At 38.0% G+C, this 19553-nt stretch overlaps 1 protein-coding gene and 2 pseudogenes across 4 annotated transcripts in view, besides 2 other annotated features; 2 read left to right on the top strand and 1 right to left on the bottom strand.

Moving 5' to 3' along the window:
- Nucleotides 1–19553, bottom strand: part of RABL3 (RAB, member of RAS oncogene family like 3) — a 57743-nt gene that overhangs the window by 20756 nt on the left and 17434 nt on the right. For all 4 annotated transcript variants that reach the window (NR_157022.1, NM_173825.5, NM_001363964.1 and 1 more), the window contains 2 exons: nucleotides 4087–4216; nucleotides 307–421 (listed from right to left, as the gene is read on the bottom strand). Coding sequence is in view for 3 of the 4 variants with exons in the window: in NM_173825.5 (NP_776186.2) it covers nucleotides 307–421; nucleotides 4087–4216 (245 nt within the window). In the remaining variant the exon portion in view is untranslated. The remainder of the gene's footprint in view (nucleotides 1–306; nucleotides 422–4086; nucleotides 4217–19553) is intronic.
- Nucleotides 13788–14347: an enhancer, noted in NCBI's record as "NANOG-H3K27ac-H3K4me1 hESC enhancer chr3:120438328-120438887 (GRCh37/hg19 assembly coordinates)". NCBI's record gives its function as "activates a minimal SCP1, AML or CMV promoter by ChIP-STARR-seq in naive H9 embryonic stem cells {active_cell/tissue: H9 hESC(naive)}" and the evidence as "EXISTENCE:reporter gene assay evidence [ECO:0000049][PMID:30033119]".
- Nucleotides 13883–14032: an enhancer, noted in NCBI's record as "active region_20336". NCBI's record gives its function as "activates an Ori minimal core promoter by ATAC-STARR-seq in GM12878 lymphoblastoid cells {active_cell/tissue: GM12878}" and the evidence as "EXISTENCE:reporter gene assay evidence [ECO:0000049][PMID:35858748]".
- Nucleotides 16331–16618, top strand: MTCO1P29 (MT-CO1 pseudogene 29; annotated as a pseudogene).
- On the top strand, nucleotides 16765–16953 carry MTCO2P29 (MT-CO2 pseudogene 29; annotated as a pseudogene).

Below are 19553 nucleotides of genomic sequence, written 5' to 3' on the forward strand. Positions count from 1 at the left end.
TACTATAAAAATGTAAAACCATAAAATCTGTAGAGGAAAACATAAGAGAAAACCTGCATCATCTAGGATTAGGCAAAGAGTTCTGAGACATGATATCAAAAGCACAATCCATAGAAGAAAAGAAGAGTAATCAGACTTCATCAAAATGAAAACTATTGCTTTGTGAAAGATACTGTTAAAAGGAAAAGATAATCTATACACTGAAAGAAAAATCTTTGCAAATCAAACATTTTACAAAGTGTTATTCAGGGAAGTACATTCCTGTGATTGCTACAATCTTTCAAACCAATTGTGAAATTGGCTCACCCATTTGTCACCAAGACTCCAGTTGGCACCAAATCCCTGTTGAGAGCTTCCAATGACCAACGACGCAAGTTTTGGGAGGACTTCTTATTTGTTAAGTCGTGTACGAAAATAATACCTAAAATAATCAGAGAAAACAATGTTAATCCCTTAACAATTCCTCTTCATTTCACAATTGGCCAAATGAAGCTTAGTAAACAGAAGCATTAGGTTGCTTAATGAATCTAGCATTCTAGTATGACTAACAACTCAGAGACAATTATTTTAAAATTTTCTCTACAAATATTTATAAATAGCCATAAACCTTTCTCTGTCAGTTTTATAACTCTTTATTTTACAAGGGCTGACGAAATCCCATTAAACTTTTAGCAGATCTTTACTTCATTCAACACTTCCTGAGTGCCTACTCCATGCCTGTTCCTACCTGTAGAACCACTTTATTAATCAAGAGAATCAAAACTACTTCAAGTACATATGAAATTATTCATTCAAAAAGTTATGTTGTTTCTTCACTGTACACAGTACTGCCATAGATACCAGTACATACATATATTACTTATACTCACTAAAAGTAATATTAGGTAATGAAAATCTACTAAAATAGTACTGATTTGATACAATTGCTATTCTTTAGCTGACAAAATAGTGTCCTGTAGATCATCTGAGACTAATCTATTCAAATGTCTAATTTTCTAGTTCTTTGAATAATGATTAGTTATGTAAGCTTCCTACCTGTAAGAGATTTAGTTATTAGAGCAAAAGAAATATGCCACTATAAGAGAGTGGGTGAGACATTAAATAGTAAAGAAGTATGGATAGTAGAAAGTACATGCACGGATTTTGATAGATTGAGAAAAATAACAAAATGTAACGAGGCCCAGAAATACACTAAAATACAACTGAAGAGAATCAATTAAAATCCTAGATAGAAAGGAAAATCAGGGAATTAATTATTACAGCAAGATATAGACAAAAGAGGAAAAACTTTGATGCCCACTAGAATTTAGGATATCACCTTATGGTCAAAACACTACAGGTTTCAAACTCCCAACCCTTTTCTATATTACCCAGATTGTGAATAGGACATGAAACCAATGATTCCTCCATCTTCAAGAGGTGGTATGTGTCAATTTGAAAAAGAAAAGCAGAAGAGGTAGAATTAGCTGGCTTCTACAGTTTTTATAGCCATCTGTGTAACTAAAGGGCTTGTACAAGCTATAGCTGACTTGTTCCAGCCAGCTTAGATAAACCTGCATCTCTTCTGGTGTCTGAAACTAATAGAGATCTGACACTTGCCCTAATATCCAATTGTACCCACTCTTCCTTCCTCAATGAGGGGTTTTAATCAGCATCAGTGGCACAGATTTAAAAAAAGGAATAAAGAACCACCATTAAAGACTACAGCTAATATTTATTCAGTACTAATGTACTAAATATTGTGCTTTACATGTGTTATCTAATTTAATTTTCAGAACAGTCCTATGAAGAATTATTATTATCTTTATACACAAGAGAAAACTAAAGTTCAGAGAAGTAGAGTAACTTGTCCTTGGGCACATGGTAAGTCAGAATTTGCACTCAGGTAATCTGACAGTAAAGACTGGTGGTAAGCAGAATAAAATCTCCATTTTAGGGCAAAAAACTGGCATATATTTTCTCCCTTTCCTTTTCCCCAGGCTATAAATATGGCAAAACTATGGGTGAGAATTTTGGACGGGGGAGTAAAAGAATTACAAAGGCCTAAGTTGGCTATTAGATGGACAGGGAAGACTTTACTGAGGATCTTTAGGTAAGACTTTTGAGCTTTTAAGGGCATTTGAGTACCCTTTTCCCCTATTCTTTCTCTTTCATTTGGGCTGAGAGTTATTGCTTTGTAGAACATGTGCTAGAAGAATCAAGGTGGGGCTGAGATGAAAGGAGTCAGGGTGATATGATAATATATCTTAATCTTAAGGGAGAGAAGTAAAGACACTTCATTATTTCCTTCTGAAGGATTACTAGCCTAGGCTATTAGAGAGGGAAGAATGTAGGGTATTAAGGGAAGAAAGTTATCGCTAAGAATATGGACTGTGCATTTGGATAGAGTGATCCTTATGTTCAGTTTCTTAGGAAACTAAGGATAGTAGATGGAATAAAGAACTTTGAGTGCTTCTACCAGGAAGAATGTTCCAGAGCTAAGGTGAAAGAACACAGAAATAGGTTTTTCAATAAATGCAGTTTTTTTTTTTTACTTTTAAGAAATGGAAATATATTTCAGTCTTATCTGCAAAATCAACATAGGATATATGCAATTCTTTCAATAATATTAAAGGAGACAAATCACTAATGAATAGTAGGTACAGAAAAGATAAACAAATATAGATTAGATGGATTTCTTCTTCAGCACTTACAAGTTTACAACTCAGAATTCCATAGCTTCTAGGATTTGAGTGGTATTTATCTCTATTATTTATTCATAATTTTTATTGTACCTCTGTCTCAAAAATACCTAAATATCAAAGGTGTTATATATTCAGACTTCTCTGTGCCAGATCAGATAGATATCTTAATTTGACAAGTAATTTTACTGATACAAGTTGATCACTCTAGTATAAGTCTAAACTAGGTTTCACTTCCTTCTCTAAGAGGTCACCTCACACTATACTTAGTCTTATTGTTGTTTTTCTTATTTATATGCATTCTATTCATATATACCATTGTATATACCTTTTTGCATGATGATGGCATATATCAAGGTCATCTTATAACTATTTTTGTCTCATTTATGAATGCTTTGTTTCTTTATTAAGACTGTGACATTTTCAGATAGAATTCTGAGCTAAATAGGATATGGGTCTGAACTGACACATCTCATTCTGTATTCTATAATATGTATCCAATGAAAAGAACCTTCTCTACATCTTTTTGTAGAGTCTACAACACCTCATGATCTGGGAAGACATCAGAAGAGGAATATAAGGAATGAACATACTGAATAAATGCAATGCTTACCTAATATTGAGTGAGATCTAAGCACAGCATAAATGAAGTCTATTAATGGCTATGCATTTACCAGGAGGGAAATGCCAAATCCTTTGGTATATTAATCAAACAGAAGTTGAAATTATGTTTCACAGTAAAAACAGGTTTTAAAAATGAATTTTTAAAAAGACTAAGAAAGAAACTCTATTGGCAAATCACAGGTATAAGCAGTTTAGTCTCTTGACACAGAGTAGGTACTCTATGAAAGGAAATTATGTCGTATATTACACAGCTCCATCTGGAAGTCTGCTCCAGGTATTTGAATATCTATAACTGGATAAAATTTCTGCACCCATAAAGACCCCCTTAAGCAGCTCTTTATAACTAGCTGAGAAAGAGCCTTAGGGCTCTTTCTAAGGGGCAGATGAAAGAAATCCCTCTATCTCTGTGTTATCTGGCTTAAGACTATGGGACTCCTATGGTCCTACTGTACTTACTCAACTCACTGGAGACAGAGCAACCCCAGAGGACAACATTTTAAGTTCCATGTTTTATGTCAAGTACCAAAAATATGATTTTATTTCTCAATATTTAGTTTATGACAATAATATAAATAGAAACACTTAATGTTTAATGTTCTGAATTAGATGGTTACAATGTAGAAACGCAAACTGGAATGTACTATGCAGATTTAAATCAAGGGTTGTGAGTACATTATATCTTTCTCAAATTAAGATGAGTCTGGCATGCTATGGCATTACATATCAGATGATCTATACTCTTAGACCATTAATATAAGATAGAAATTTAAAAATGTTTTACCATTTACGGAGTTGTAGAATACTGCTCTTGTGCTTTTCACGCTGCTGGCACTGCCCACAGAGCCTCCAACATCCCATAATTCTATGTAGTAGGTCTTCTCTTCTGGGGTTCCTTCTTTGTAATCATGAACCTAACAAATCAATCAATTAAAATAATTAATATAGCCACTAAACAAACTAGTAAGTACCCTTATTCCGGTTTAAAGCATTTCAGCATCTTACTCTGACTTTCTGATCGCTACCTCTTATCTTTTAAGCTTACTCTCTTTAATACTTTAATAATTTTTACTCCAGAGGACCTTATAGTTAATTAATCTTAACATCTTTCACAGCTCTCTGTTCCACTTCCGAAGCCTCACCTCCCTCCTAACTAAGCATAAATTTCATGATCCATCATACAGTCACTCCTTTGCCCCTCTCTCACATTGTATTCATCTGACAAAATTCCACTCTTGGTTATATCCACCTTTTACCCTCTTTCATGTCTACAACCCAGCAACCGAATGTGGAGCTCGGAAAAATACGCATTCAAGATGAATGGATTCTTTCTAAATTTAAGTGTACCTTTGGAGCTGTCCTTCAATCAATTCCACAGTTAATTTACCATTTTCCTCTTCCAGATAACTATTTCATACTTTTTCCTCTTTATAAACTTCTAATATCTCTTCCCCATCCTCAGTTAAAACTAACTTTGCTTCCTAGTGCAGAAGCAATTAGAAAGGAGCTTCTACAACCTGTTCTTCCTGTATTTATCTGCCTTTCTCCATCTGTGCCCACATAATCTGCTTTCCTTCTTGCTGTTTTCTTAGGCTGCCTATGTCCCTAAGGCTAAATCCTCCTTCTGTGCATGAGATCCCATCCCCACTTTCTTGCTTAAAGATGTAATTCTACCAGTTCTCCCGTCTCTCCCTTATACCATCAAATTTTCCTTCTCAGCTGGATAATCCTCACCACACAATTCAATTCTCAGCATACAAACATGGCATAATTTTCCTCATCTAAAAAAAATCCTTCTCTTGACCTCAAGTCCTCTTCCAGCTACCATGCCACTTTCCTTTTCCTTTTCACAGCAAAAGTCCTCCAAAGAGTTGTCTATTCTTAGCGGTAATCCTTTTCTTCACATTCTCTTTTGAACTCATTTCTATCGAACTTATGCCCTAATGACCCCAATGAACTATTCCTTGTCAAGGTCACCAATGACCTCCACATTGTTAACTCCAATGGTCAATTAACAGTTTTCATTTTACTCCACCATTTGATCCACCTCGTGTCTTGCAACATTTTTCACCTGGCTTCTGGGATATCACACTCTTCTAGTTTTCTTCCTATCTCATTGGCTAGTGCTTTTCAGCTTCCATTTGGGTCCTTCTTATCTCTCTGATTTCTAATTGCTAATGTGTCTCAAGGTTTAGTTCTTCAGTCTCTTTTCTTTTCTATCAATACTCATTCTTGTGGCAATTTCATCTAAAAGGCAATTTTATTCTTCCAGTTACTTGGGCCAAAAACTTAAGACTGATCCTTGACTCCTTTCATATTGCATTATTGCATTTGCCAACAAGTTCTGCTTCTTTGACTTTAAAAAAATATGTCAAAAATCTGTTCATTTCTCCCTATCTCCACTATTACCACCCAGGTCAAAGTCTCTATCTCCTTGCCTGAATTGATATAATGGTCTCTGACTGATCTCCCTACTAGAGGCATCCCCCAACCTCCCTGTTTGTTTTCTATACAGTAGCTAGAGTGATCCTTTAAAAATGCAAGTTATATCATACGCTCTTTTGCTCAAAACCCTCCAATGACTTTCTCACTCACAGTTATCTCCAAAGACTCTCTTTTTCTCATGTCTAGGCTCTATAGGCATTTACTGCCTGTACTGTATAACTATTCAGAAACAAATTATGATATATGGCAAGCAGATTAAAGTATGCTGGTTCATGAGTACACATCGGCATTTTCCAAGAATTAATTTTTTTTAAGAAATATACATGCCAATCTTACTGAATCAGGACCTTTGGGATTAAATACTAGGCATGTGTATTTTGAACAATTCTCCAAACGATTCTGCTGTAATCCCCTCGTTAAGAACTGCTGCTTTCATAGAATGGGACTATTACAGTATCAGGAGGCCTAGATTCTACTCCTTGATTGCCACTGATCGTCCCTGGTATCTTGGAGCCTCAGTTTCTTTGCCTATAAAATGAAAGAATTGTATTATGTGATTTCTAAAGTATCTACTGGCTTTGACATAATAATTAAAAAAACAAGATAGCTCAGTAGTTAAAATAGATGTCATAAAATGCACTAAAACTCACATACTACATTCAACTTAATGCTTTACACTTTTACTTATTCACAATTTTTTTGTCCAAATCCTTTTGGCCAAGGAAAAATTTAAATAAATATGCTACTCTATAAACAGCCACATTGACATTAAGAAGACAATTATCAGACTGACATCAAAGACAGTATGACAGAAAAATGAGAATAGCACAGTTGCAGCAGTTGAGGACCATTTGGGATAATGGAAATTAATTCTGCATATTACAATAGAAGGCATCACTATTTTGTTATATGGCAAAAATAACTTATAATATGTGATCATGTCAAGTTAGCAGTAAAAAAGTTAAACCAAGCAGAAAAAACATATGTTTTAGCAAGATTTCTAAGCAAAACAATGAGAAAAAGCAGTATGAGGTCTTATAAAGAGTAAGTTATCTGTTATGAAAAAGCTCAGCGACTTCAGTTAAGTCTTTCTGATCCTACCTTCCTTCTGGGCCCAAATCAACCAGAGCAGGTTTGGTACTCCTCCTATTTGCTTCCATAGCATCCTACACACCTCTATCATTTCACTAAGCACACTGTCTTATTTATCTACTGATATCTCTTCTTCTAGACTCTGAGTGTAAGGGCACGGACCATGTATTATTCATCCTTTAGCCCTAGAAAATAGCATAATATCTAGCATATATTAGATGCTTAGACATGTTTATTAAATACATGAATAAATTTAGGATAACTCATCCTCCAGGTTTTTATTATGTTCAGTTTATTATTTACCGAATTCCAGTGTTTCTCCAGTACAGTTCCAAGAGCAAACTAAATCAAAGCCAATAGGAAGTTTGTTAAAAAATACAGATTCCTGGACTGTCCTTGAAACTTCTGGGATGGGGCTCAAGAGTCTGTATTTTTTTTTTTTAAAGTTCCCTAGGTGATTCTGATACATGATTAAGTTTGGCAACCACTGCAGTACACCATTTTTTTTCTCTAAATTATTTCAAGTACCTAATGTTGCCTCCTCTAAAGGACTATAACTCCTCTGAGAATAGCCATCATCCAATGTAAATTTCTAGGCAGCATACCCTCTTAGCCTTGCATTGTACCAAACCTGTTAGCCAGCACCTTTCAGGCTATGCATACTCCCAAGCCAGACTGACTCACTCATCTAAACTCTTCTCTACCACAAATTACCTTTCCTAGTCAAATCCTTTCCTGTTTCCTTTTAAAATCAGAAGATAAGGTGTCTTCTTTCCTTTCCAACTTAATACTGGCTAAGTTTAACCCAATTCACATGGAATGAATCCCAACAATTTTAAATCAGTAGCTTACAGCTTCTAGTTATGATGTTACATCTTTCACATGTGTGAGTAATTTCCAAGGGAAAGCTTGACATTATAACAAGTATTGCTCTTGACACAGTAAGTAGTACTTTGGTGCTATACTGAGAACCCAACATGATGGGAGGTAATGCCAAACTATGAGAAGTGTGTTTTATATTTAAAGCAGGTCATCAAGGATCTGATACTTAAAGTCATTACAGACCTTACAGCTATACAATAAAGGATTTTCTTAACAATAAAGGAAGCAACAGTACAGCTGATCATCAAATGGAAAAAGGAACAGTACTCCTCAACGATGCTGCCACTTTGGACCTTCTCATTTATTCAGCTTTTGACTTTTTCTTGAAAACAAAATCAAGACCTATGTACATAAGGTTTTGTTTCATTTGAAGAGTTCATTCATTGTCTGTAACTTTTTTTTTTTTTTTTTTTTGAGATGGAGTCTCACTCTGTCACCCAGGCTGGAGTGCAGTGGCATGATTTCAGCTCACTGCAACCTCCGCCTCCCTGGGTTCAGCGATTCTCCTGCCTCAGCCTCCCAAGTGGCTGGGATTACAGGCACATGTCACCACGTCTGGCTAATTTTTGTATTTTTTAGTAGAAATGGGGTTTCACCATATTGGCCAGGCTGGTCTCAAACTCCTGACCTTGTGATCCGCCTGCCTTGGCCTCCCAAAGTGCTGGGATTACAGGCGTAAGCCACCGCGCCTGGCCCATTGTTTGTAACTTTTAAAATGCAGAAACATATTTAGAAAAAAAATGATACACATCAAGAAAGAACAGTGGATATTGTAGATGCTAATAAGTTTGGTTTAGTATTTGTACCTGCAGAATCATTATTAAAGAGAGGAAGGGAGGTAGGAGGTCTTAGGAGGGAGTTGGTAACAAAGAGAGAAGGGTGAAAAAGAGATACTAGGAGAATATACCACAGGAGCAGAAATTAATTTATCTCATTCACTGCTATACTTCCAGTTCCTTGCACAGTGTCTGATACCAAGGAGGTATGTAACATATGTATTGAAGGAAGAAATGAACAAATGAATAGTGTAAAGGTTACTGCTGTCTCTTCACTTCCAGTTACTGCTCTTTTGCCTTCAGTCAAGCTTATTTTTTTCTAATTAAAAAAAAGCCCTTCACTTTCCCTGCCATTCTGTACCCATTCACTCTTTTATTTAACGTCTAAACTTCGTGAAAAATTGAGTTAAACCTCTGTCTCTATTTCCTCTCTGCCAGTCATATAATTTGGTTTCTGCCACAAATATTCCATTGCACTTTCAAAGGTCAGCAGAGACTTTACAACATATCCAGTATTTTTTTTTCCTGTCTCAGTCCTTATATTGCTACTGTTTCTTACTAAAAATCAATCCCTCTTTCATGAAATTCTCATCTCTCTTTGCTCTTGTCGTTCATTTTGGCTATCCTCTTATTTCTTTAATCAGTCTTTCTCTGACCCCTCTTTTCCCATCAACTCTCTAAATATACCCCAACCTTTTTCTAAATTTTCTCTTTTAGAAATTGCATCAGTTCTAGTGGTTCGGGATTATTTCTATAAATATGATTCCAACTCAGAATTGTCTTTTGAGCTTCAGCATTTCATTTCCAGGACAGCTCCAGGTGGCTAGCTCACAGATACCTCCTTTCACCATGTCCAGAACTGAACTTACTATTGTTTCCTTCTTTTTCACCTATAATATGGCCCTCTTCTTGGGGACAGTCCATCTAGCCACTTACTTAAGCCACCCATTCAATCATTAGTGCCTAGGATAATTTTACACTTACTTTCTTGAACTACTATAACACTTGTTTTCTATATCAGTGCTGTCCCATGGAATTTTCTACAGCCATAGAAATGCCCAATACAGGCCAGGTGTGGTGGCTCATGCCTATAATCCCAGCACATTTGGAGTCTGAGGCAGGCAGATCACTTGAGGCCAGGAGTTTGAGACCAGCCTGGCCAACATGGCGAAACCTGTCTCTACTAAAAATACAACAATTAGCCAGGCATGGTGGCACGCACCTGTAATCTCAGCTACTCAGGAGGCTGAGGCACAAGAATTCTTGATCCTGGGAGGCAGAGGTTGCAGTGAGCCGATATGGTGCCACTGCACTCCAGCTTGGGCAACAGAATGAGACTCTTTTTCAAAATAATAATAATAATAATAAATAAAAAAAGAAAGAACGAAATGTCCAATACGGTAACCATTAGCAACATGTGACTACTTAGCAATTGAAATGTGGCTTGTTTAACTGAGGAGCTAGATTTTTAATTTTAATCAATTTAAATTTAAATTTAAATTGCCACATGAGGCTATTGGCTACTATATTGAACAGTATCAGATTTTTTTTTTTCTTAATACTGTTCTGGAACAAGAGGCAGTACAGAGTAGTGATCAGGAGCACAGGTTCTTGAAGCAGACTGCCTGGGTTTGAATCGCAGTTCCATAACTTACTAACTATATGATCCAGGACAAGTCATGTAGTGCCTCTGTGCTTCAATTGCTTCCACGCTAAATGAATAGGGGCACTAACAGTACCTGCCTCATAGGGTTGTTGTGAGAATTAAATGAATTAGTATGTAAATGGATGCCTAGCCAAAGTAAGCAATAAAAAGTGTCCCACCTCATATGCTTAGTGAAGATAGAGACTATTCCTCTAATTTCTTCCCAGTGTCTGTACATTGTTAGGCTGTCCAAAGAGGAATTCAATAAATATCAATTGTATGCAATGTGTAAATTAGAGAGTTAAATTACCATTAAAGTGAACTAGAAATGACAAATCAATTTCCTTATTTATAGTTTGTGAAAAGACTAAATTCTAAATTCATTAAGTCTTGTTTTCATAATTAAGAGTAGCCATGTATTTGTATTTACTCCCATTAGACTTGGGACAGCAAAGTTAAAGACAGGAATGAATGAAGAATACCACAAAATTAAACTTTTCTTCCTTTTCTTTTCAATTCAGTTATGAACACCTCTGTACTAAACAGTAAATCCAAAATGTTAGTAATTACTGAGTACATACATTAAACTCATTAGCTTCACCTGGTACTTAAGATTAAACAATTACATCATCACTGCTATCATCTCTATTTTTGGTTGGCTCTTAATAGATTTGAAGTAAAAGAGGCAACTGTTGGGTGCAGCACACCAACATGGCACATGTATACATATGTAACAAACCTGCACATTGTGCACATGTACCCTAAAACTTAAAGTATAATAATAATAAAATTAAAAAAAAAAGAAAAAAAAAGAGGCAACTGTTTCTAAGAGTTTTGAAAAGTGTGTATTCATCAATCTACACTAATTCTGGAGATCCCTTCGCACAGGTTTCACTAAAACAAAAACTATAACTGCAATATAAAAGCTGCTACAGGTAACAGTGCTCTCCCAAGTTATTTAGGTAAAGGCTTTATAAGCTTTAGTTATTCTTTCTATAGAAAAGAACTGTTCACTTTATTATAACAACAGTCAAAGTGATTTACATGTCCATGACAACTTAAGGTTATCATTTAAAAATGCCTTTTACTTATGTTATCACTCACGCAGTGCATTCTTCTCAAAAATGGAAGACATGGCCAGGCATGGTGGCTCACTCCTGTAATCCCAGCACGTTGGGAGGCCTAGGTGGGTGGATCACCTGAGGTCAGGAGTTTGAGACCAGCCTGGCCAACATTGTGAAACCCAGTCTCTACTCAAAATACAAAAAAATTTAGCCAGGCGTGGTGGTGGGTGCCTGTAATCCCAGCTACTCGGGAGGCTGAGGCAGGAGAATCGCTTGAACCTGGGAGGTGGAGGTTGTAGTGAGCCAAAATTATTGTGCCACTGCACTCCGGCCTGGGCAACAAGAACAAAACTCCATCTCAAAAAAAACAAAAAAAAAAACAACAAAAAAAAAAACAAGACAGAAGTCAACTGGCTTAAGATACAATGAACAGTAAAGCAAATCATTTTCAGCCCATGTCCCATTCTTCCACAATAACACAATTCAGGTAAGACTGTCTTTAAAGGAATCAATTAGTGCCACACTCATTCCAGTAAACCCAGTAACGTAATTATATGACATTTGTCTTTTTGTTTTGTTTTGTTTTTGAGACAGAGTCTCGCTCTGTTGCCCAGGCTGGAGTGCAGTGGCCTGATCTCAAGTCACTGCAACCTCCGCATCCCGGGTTCAAGCCATTTTCCTACCTCAGCTTCCCGAGTAGCTAGGATTACAGGTGTGTGCCACCACGCCCAGCTAATTTTTGTATTTTTAGTAGAGATGGGGTTTCACAATGTTGACCAGGCTGGTCTCAAACTCCTGACCTCACGTGATCCACCGACCTTGACCTCCCAACGTGCTGGGATTACAGGCGTGACCCACCGCACCCAGTCCCAAAGCAGAAGTTTCTAAACGGAATTACTGCTATTACTTCTAAAACTTGGTCAGTGTCTTGAGAACTAACTAGTAATCTCATGTTGGCCTGCTCTCTGGGACTTTGCACAAAAGCATTCCTTGCAGACAAAATCAAGTCTCCACTCTCACATACAGGGGACTGCTGAGATAAAGTTTCTTTTGGAAACTTTGCCACCAGCTACACTCAAGACATTTATATCCCAGTTATCCTCTGTTACTATACATATTGGGTCCTTAATTGGTCTCTCATATTCTTATTCTCAGACTGCTTTTGCTTCCTCTACCCATCATTAAACTCCTAATTGTTTCCTTCTCCAAATATTTCCACTTTTCTCCTGGAATCTTACTCCATGGTTACAAAATTCCATTATACCCTATCCTCAATCTCATTCTATTAACAAATCTCCGCCTCTACCTTGAAAACACAACTTCTCCTTATGTCCTCTCAGATAGATGCTGTTCACTTTTCAATATTCTAATTACCTTGGAGTTCAGAAAATAGGAAATGCCTTGCTAACACTCCAAAGCTACTTCTAGTGCATTACTCCTCTACCCTTATATTAAAAATCTGCCTTCTTTAGATGCTCTGGACCATCAGCTATACTCCCCTCCCTCCTTGTCTTATCGTTAATATGTACTAGCTTCCTATTAGCATCTCATTCTTAGTCTTATACCTCTGCTCTATAAGTCCTGTCATTAAACACTTTGATATCCACTTGGCAATATGATTGCACTCCTTACCCAGTATTTCTCAAGGCATTATTCACCTATAAGAGAATCATCAAGATGCTTCTTAAAATGCAGATGCTTGGGCACCAATCAACTCTGAGTCAGAATATCTGGGGGCAAGGCCCAAGAATCAAATAAAAATACTAAGACTGTCAGACTGGTCATCAAAACAAAATTTAGCTATATCTTACTTATAAGAGACATCCCATAGATATTAGGACACAGAAAGATGAAAGTTGAAATATGTAAATAAGGTAAACCACACAAACACTAACTAAAAATAAGTTGGCTTTAACTATTTTAATATCAGACAAAATAGTCTTCGAGGTACAATGTATTACCAGATATAGGGAGGGACATATTAAAATAACAAAATGTTAAATCCTTTAGGAAGTTCAAACAATCATAAATTAGTACTCACCTAGTAATATAATCTCAAAGTATATAAATGAAAAATGGACAGGATTAAAATGAGGAATAGACAAATTCACACTTACTGTTGGAGATTATAATACTTATTCCTTAGCAATTGATGAAAAAAACAGACCAAAAAAACCCACCCAACAGAGATGGAGAAGATTTAACAAATGATTAACACATATTTAGAACACTGCACCCAACAATTACAAAATATACTTTGTTTTCAAGTGCATATGAAATTTTTATCAAAATTGACCATAAAACTGGACGTGGGGAGGGTGGAGCCAGGATGGCCGAATAGGAACAGCTCCAGTCTACAGCTCCCAGCGTGAGCGACACAGAAGACAAATGATTCCTGCATTTCCAACTGAGGTACTGGGTTCATCTCACTGGGGAGTGCCAGACAGTGGGTGCAGGACAGTGGGCACAGCGCACCGAGTGTGAGTCGAAGCAAGGCGAGGCATCGCCTCACCTGGGAAGCGCAAGGGGTCAGGGAATTCCCCTTCCTAGCCAAGGGAAGCGGTGACAGATGGCACCTGGAAAATTGGGTCACTCTCACCCTAATACTGCGCTTTTCCAACGGTCTTAGCAAAAGGCACACCAGAAGATTGTATCTCGCTCCTGGCTCGAAGGGTCCTACGCCCACGAAGCCTCGCTCATTGCTAGCACAGCAGTCTGAGAGCAAACTGCAAGGCAGCAGCCAGGCTGGGGGAGGGGCACCCACCATTGCCAAGGCTTGAGTAGGTAAACAAAGCAGCCAGGAAGCTCGAACTGGGTGGAGCCCACCGCAGCTCAAGGAGGCCTGCCTGCCTCTGTAGACTCCACCTCTGGGGGCAGGGCATAGCCAGAAACCTCTGCAGACTTAAATGTCCCTGTCTGACAGCTTTGAAGAGAGTAGTGGTTCTCCCAGCATGCAGCTTGAGATCTGAGAATGGACAGACTGCCTCCTCAAGTGGGTCCCTGACCCCCGAGTAGCCTAACTGAGAGACACCCCCCAGTAGGGGCAGACTGACACCTCACACGGCCAGGTACTCCTCTGAGACAAAACTTCCAGAGGAACAATCAGGCAGCAACATTTGCTGTTCACCAATATCCGCCATTCTATAGCCTCCGCTGGTGATACCCAGGCAAACAGGGTCTGGAGCGGACCTCCAGCAAACTCCAACAGATCTGCAGCTGAGGGTCCTGACTGTTAGAAGGAAAACTAACAAACAGAAAGGACATCCTCACCAAAACCTCATCTGTACATCACCATCATCAAAGACCAAAGGTAGATAAAACCACAAAGATGGGGAAAAAACAGAGCAGAAAAGCTGAAAATTCTGAAAATCAGAGTGCCTCTCCTCCTCCAAAGGAACGCAGCTCATCACCGACAATGGAGCAAAGCTGGATGGAGAATGACTTTGATGATTTGAGAGAAGAAGGCTTCAGACGATCAAACTACTCAGAGCTAAAGGAGGAAGTTCGAACCCAAGGCAAAGAAGTTAAAAACCTTGGAAAAAGATTAGATGAAAGGCTAACTAGAATAATCAACACAGACAAGTCCTTAAAGGACCTGATGGAGCTGAAAACCACGGCATGAGAACTACGTGACGAATGCACAAGCCTCAGTAGTCGATTCAATCAATTGGAAGAAAGGGTATCAGCGATGGAAGATCAAATGAATGAAATGAAGCGAGAAGATAATTTTAGAGAAAAAAGAATAAAAAGAAAGGAACAAAGCCTCCAAGAAATATGGGACTACGTGAAAAGACCAAATCTATGTCTGACTGGTCTACCTGAAAGTGACAGGGAGAATGGAACCAAGTTGGAAAACACTCTGCAGGATATTATCTAGGAGAACTTCCCCAATCTAGCAAGGCAGGCCAACATTCAAATTCAGGAAATACAGAGAACGCCACAAAGAGACTCCTCGAGAAGAGCAACTCCAAGACACATAATTGTCAGATTCACCAAAGTTGAAATGAAGGAAAAAATGTTAAGGGCAGCCAGAGAGAAAAGTCAGGTTACCCACAAAGGGAAGCACATCAGACTAACAGCTGATCTCTTGGCAGAAACTCTACAAGCCAGAACAGAGTGGGGGCCAATATTCAACATTCTTAAAGAAAAGAATTTTCAACCCAGAATTTCATATCCAGCCAAACTAAGCTTCATAAGCGAAGGAGAAATAAAATACTTTACAGATAAGCAAATGCTGAGAGATTCTGTCACCACCAGGCCTGCCCTAAAAGAGTTCCTGAAGGAAGCACTAAATATGGAAAGGAACAACCGGTACCAGCCACTGCAAAAACATGCCAAAGCGTAAAGACCATCGAGGCTAGGAAGAAACTGCATCAACTAACGAGCAAAATAACCAGCTAACATTATAATGACAGGATCAAATTCACACATAACAATATTAACCTTAAATTGTAAGTGGGCTAAATGCTCCAATTAAAAGACACAGACTGGCAAATTGTCAAGACCCATCAGTGTGCTGTATTCAGGAAACCCATCTCATGTGCAGAGACACACATAGGCTCAAAATAAAGGGATGGAAGAACATCTACTGAGCAAATGGAAAACAAAAAAAGGCAGGGGTTGCAATCCTAGTCTCTGATAAAACAGACTTTAAACCAACAAAGATCAAAAGAGACAAAGAAGGCCATTACATAATGGTAAAGGGATCAATTCAACAAGAACAGCTAACTATCCTAAACATATATGCACCCAATACAGGAGCACCCAGATTCATAAAGCAAGTCCTTAGAGACCTACAAAGACACTTAGACTCCCACACAATAATAATGGGAGACTTTAACACACCACTGTCAACATTAGACAGATCAATGAGACAGAAAGTTAACAAGGATATCCAGGAATTGAACTCAGCTCTGCACCAAGCGGACCTAATAGATATCTACAGAACTCTCCATCCCAAGTCAACAGAATATACATTCTTTTCAGCACCACACCACACCTATTCCAAAACTGACCACACAGTTGGAAGCAAAGCAATCCTCAGCAAATGTAAAAGAACAGAAATTATAACAAACTGTCTCTCAGACCACAGTGCAATCAAACGAGAACTCAGGATTAAGAAACATACTCGTAGGCGTAAATCTAACCTTCTTCCCACAGCACATTCTCAGCTTATCTGGAATACCCCGATGTTATTCTGACTACCCCGACGCATATACCACGTGAAATATTTTATCATCTGTAGGCTCATTCATCTCCTTAACAGCAGTAATATTAATAATTTTCATAACCTGAGAGGCCTTTGCTTCAAAATGGAAAGTTCTAATAATTGAACAACCTTCCACTAACTTAGAGTGGTTATGTGGCTGCCCTCCACCCTACCATACGTTTGAAGAACCAGTCTACATAAAACCTAGACGAAAAAGGAAGGAATCCAACCCCCTAAAACTGGTTTCAAGCCAACCTCATAACCTCTATGACTTTTTCAACAAGATATTAGAAAAATTATTTCATAACTTTGTCAAAGTTAAGTTACAGGTTAAGTCCCATATATCTTAATGGCACACGCAGCCCAACTAGGCCTTCAAGATGCCACATCCCCTATAACAGAAGAGCTAATCGCCTTCCATGATCACGCCATTATAATCATCTTCCTATTCAGCTTCCTAGTTCTATGTGTCCTCTTTCTAACACTTACAACAAAACTGGCTAACACTAGCATCACAGATGCCAAAGAAATGGAAACTCAAAACCGCTCAACTACATGGGAACTGAACAACCTGCTCCTGAATGACTACTGGGTACATAACGAAATGAAGGCAGAAATAAAAGATGTTCTTTGAAACCAACGAGAACAAAGACACAACATACCAGAATCTCTGGGACACATTCAAAGCAGTGTGTAGAGGGAAATTTATAGCACTAAATGCCCACAAGAGAAAGCAGGAAAGATCTAAAATTGACACCCTAACATCACAATTAAAAGAACTAGAGAAGCAAGAGCAAACACATTCAAAAGCTAGCAGAAGGCAAGAAATAACTAAGATCAGAGCAGAACTGAAGGAAATAATGATACAAAAAACTCTTCAAAAAATCAATGAATCCAGGAGCTGGTTTTTTGAAAAGATCAACAAAATTGATAGACCGCTAGCAACACTAATGAAGAAGAAAAGACAGAAGAATCAAATAGATGCAATAAAAAATGATAAAGGGGATATCACCACCGATCCCACAGAAATACAAACTACCATCGGAGAATACTAAAAACACCTGTACGCAAATAAACTAGAAAATCTAGAAGAAATGGATAAATTCCTGGACACATACACCCTCCCAAGACTAAACCAGGAAGAAGTTGAACCTCTGAATAGACCAATAACAGGCTAGGAAATTGGGGCAACAATTAATAGCTTACCAAGCAAAAAAAGTCCAGGACCAGATGGATTCACAGCCAAATTCCACCAGAGGTACAAGGAGGAGCTGGTACCATTCCTTCTGAAACTATTCCAATCAATAGAAAAAGGGGGAATCCTCCCTAACTCATTTTATGAGGCCAGCATCATCCTGATACCAAAGCCTGGCAGAGACACAACAAAAAAAGAGAATTTTTGACCAATATCCCTGAGGAACAGCAATGCAAAAATCCTCAATAAAATACTGGCAAACCGAATCCAGCAGCACATCAAAAAGCTTATCCACCATGATCAAGTGGGCTTCATCCCTGGGATGGAAGGCTGGTTCAACATACGCAAATCAATAAACGTAATCCAGCATATAAACAGAACCAATGACAAAAATCACATGATTATGTCAATAGATGCAGAAAAAACCTTTGACAAAATTCAACAACCCTTCATGCTAAAAACTCTCAATAAATTAGGTATTGATGGGACATATCTCAAAATAATAAGAGCTATCTATGACAAACCCACAGCCAATATCATACTGAATGGGCAAAAACTGGAAGCATTCCCTTTGAAAACTGGCACAAGACAGGGATGCCCTCTCTCACCACTCCTATTCAACATAGTGTTGGAAGTTCTGGCCAGGGCAATCAGGCAGGAGAAGGAAATAAAGGGTATTCAATTAGGAAAAGAGGAAGTCAAATTGTCCCTGTTTGCAGATGACATGATAGTATATCCAGAAAACCCCATCGTCTCAGCCCAAAATCTCCTTAAGCTGATAAGCTACTTCAGCAAGGTCTCAGGATACAAAATCAATGTGCAAAAATCACAAGCATTCTCATACACTAATAACAGACAAAAAGAGAGCCAAATCATGAGTGAACTCCCATTCACAATTGCTTCAAAGAGAATAAAATACCTAGGAATCCAACTTACAAGGGATGTGAAGGACCTCTTCAAGGAGAATTACAAACCACTGCTCAACGAAGTAAAAGAGGACACAAACAAATGGAAGAACATTCCATGCTCATGGGTAGGCAGAATCAATATCATGAAAATGGCCATACTGCCCAAGGTAATTTATAGATTCAATGCCATCCCCATCAAGCTACCAATGACTTTCTTCACAGAATTGGAAAAAAACTACTTTAAAGTTCATATGGAACCAAAAAAGAGCCCACATTGCCAAGTCAATCCTATGCCAAAAGGACAAAGCTGGAGGCATCACGCTACCTGACTTCAAACTATACTACAAGGCTACAGTAACCAAAACAGCATGGTACTGGTGCCAAAACAGACATATAGGCCAATGGAACAGAACAGAGCCCTCAGAAATAATGCCACATAACTACAACATCTGATCTTTGACAAATCTGACAAAAACAAGAAATGGGGAAAGGATTCCCTAATTAATAAATGGTGCTGGGAAAACTGGCTAGCCATATTTAGAAAGCTGAAACTGGATCCCTTCCTGACACCTTATACAAAAATTAATTCAAGATGGATTAAAGACTTAAATGTTAGACCTAAAACCATAAAAACCCTAGAAGAAAACCTAGGCAATACCATTCAGGACATAGGCATGGGCAAGGACTTCATGTCTAAAACACCAAAGGCAATGGCAACAAAAGCCAAAATTGACAAATGGGATCTAATTAAACTAAAGAGCTTCTGCACAGCAAAAGAAACTACCATCAGAGTGAACAGGCAACCTACAGAATGGGAGAAAATGTTTGCAATCTACTCATCTGACAAAGGGCTAATATCCAGAATCTACAATGAACTCCAACAAATTTACAAGAAAAAAACAACCCCATCAACAAGTGAGTGAAGGATATGAACAGACACTTCTCAAAAGAAGACATTTATGCAGCCAAAAGACACATGAAAAAATGCTCACCATCACTGGCCATCAGAGAAATGCAAATCAAAACCACATTGAG

The sequence above is a fragment of the Homo sapiens genome, chromosome 3 (genome assembly GCF_000001405.40).
Source record: "Homo sapiens chromosome 3, GRCh38.p14 Primary Assembly".
In the NCBI taxonomy this organism is placed as follows: Eukaryota; Metazoa; Chordata; class Mammalia; order Primates; family Hominidae; genus Homo; species Homo sapiens.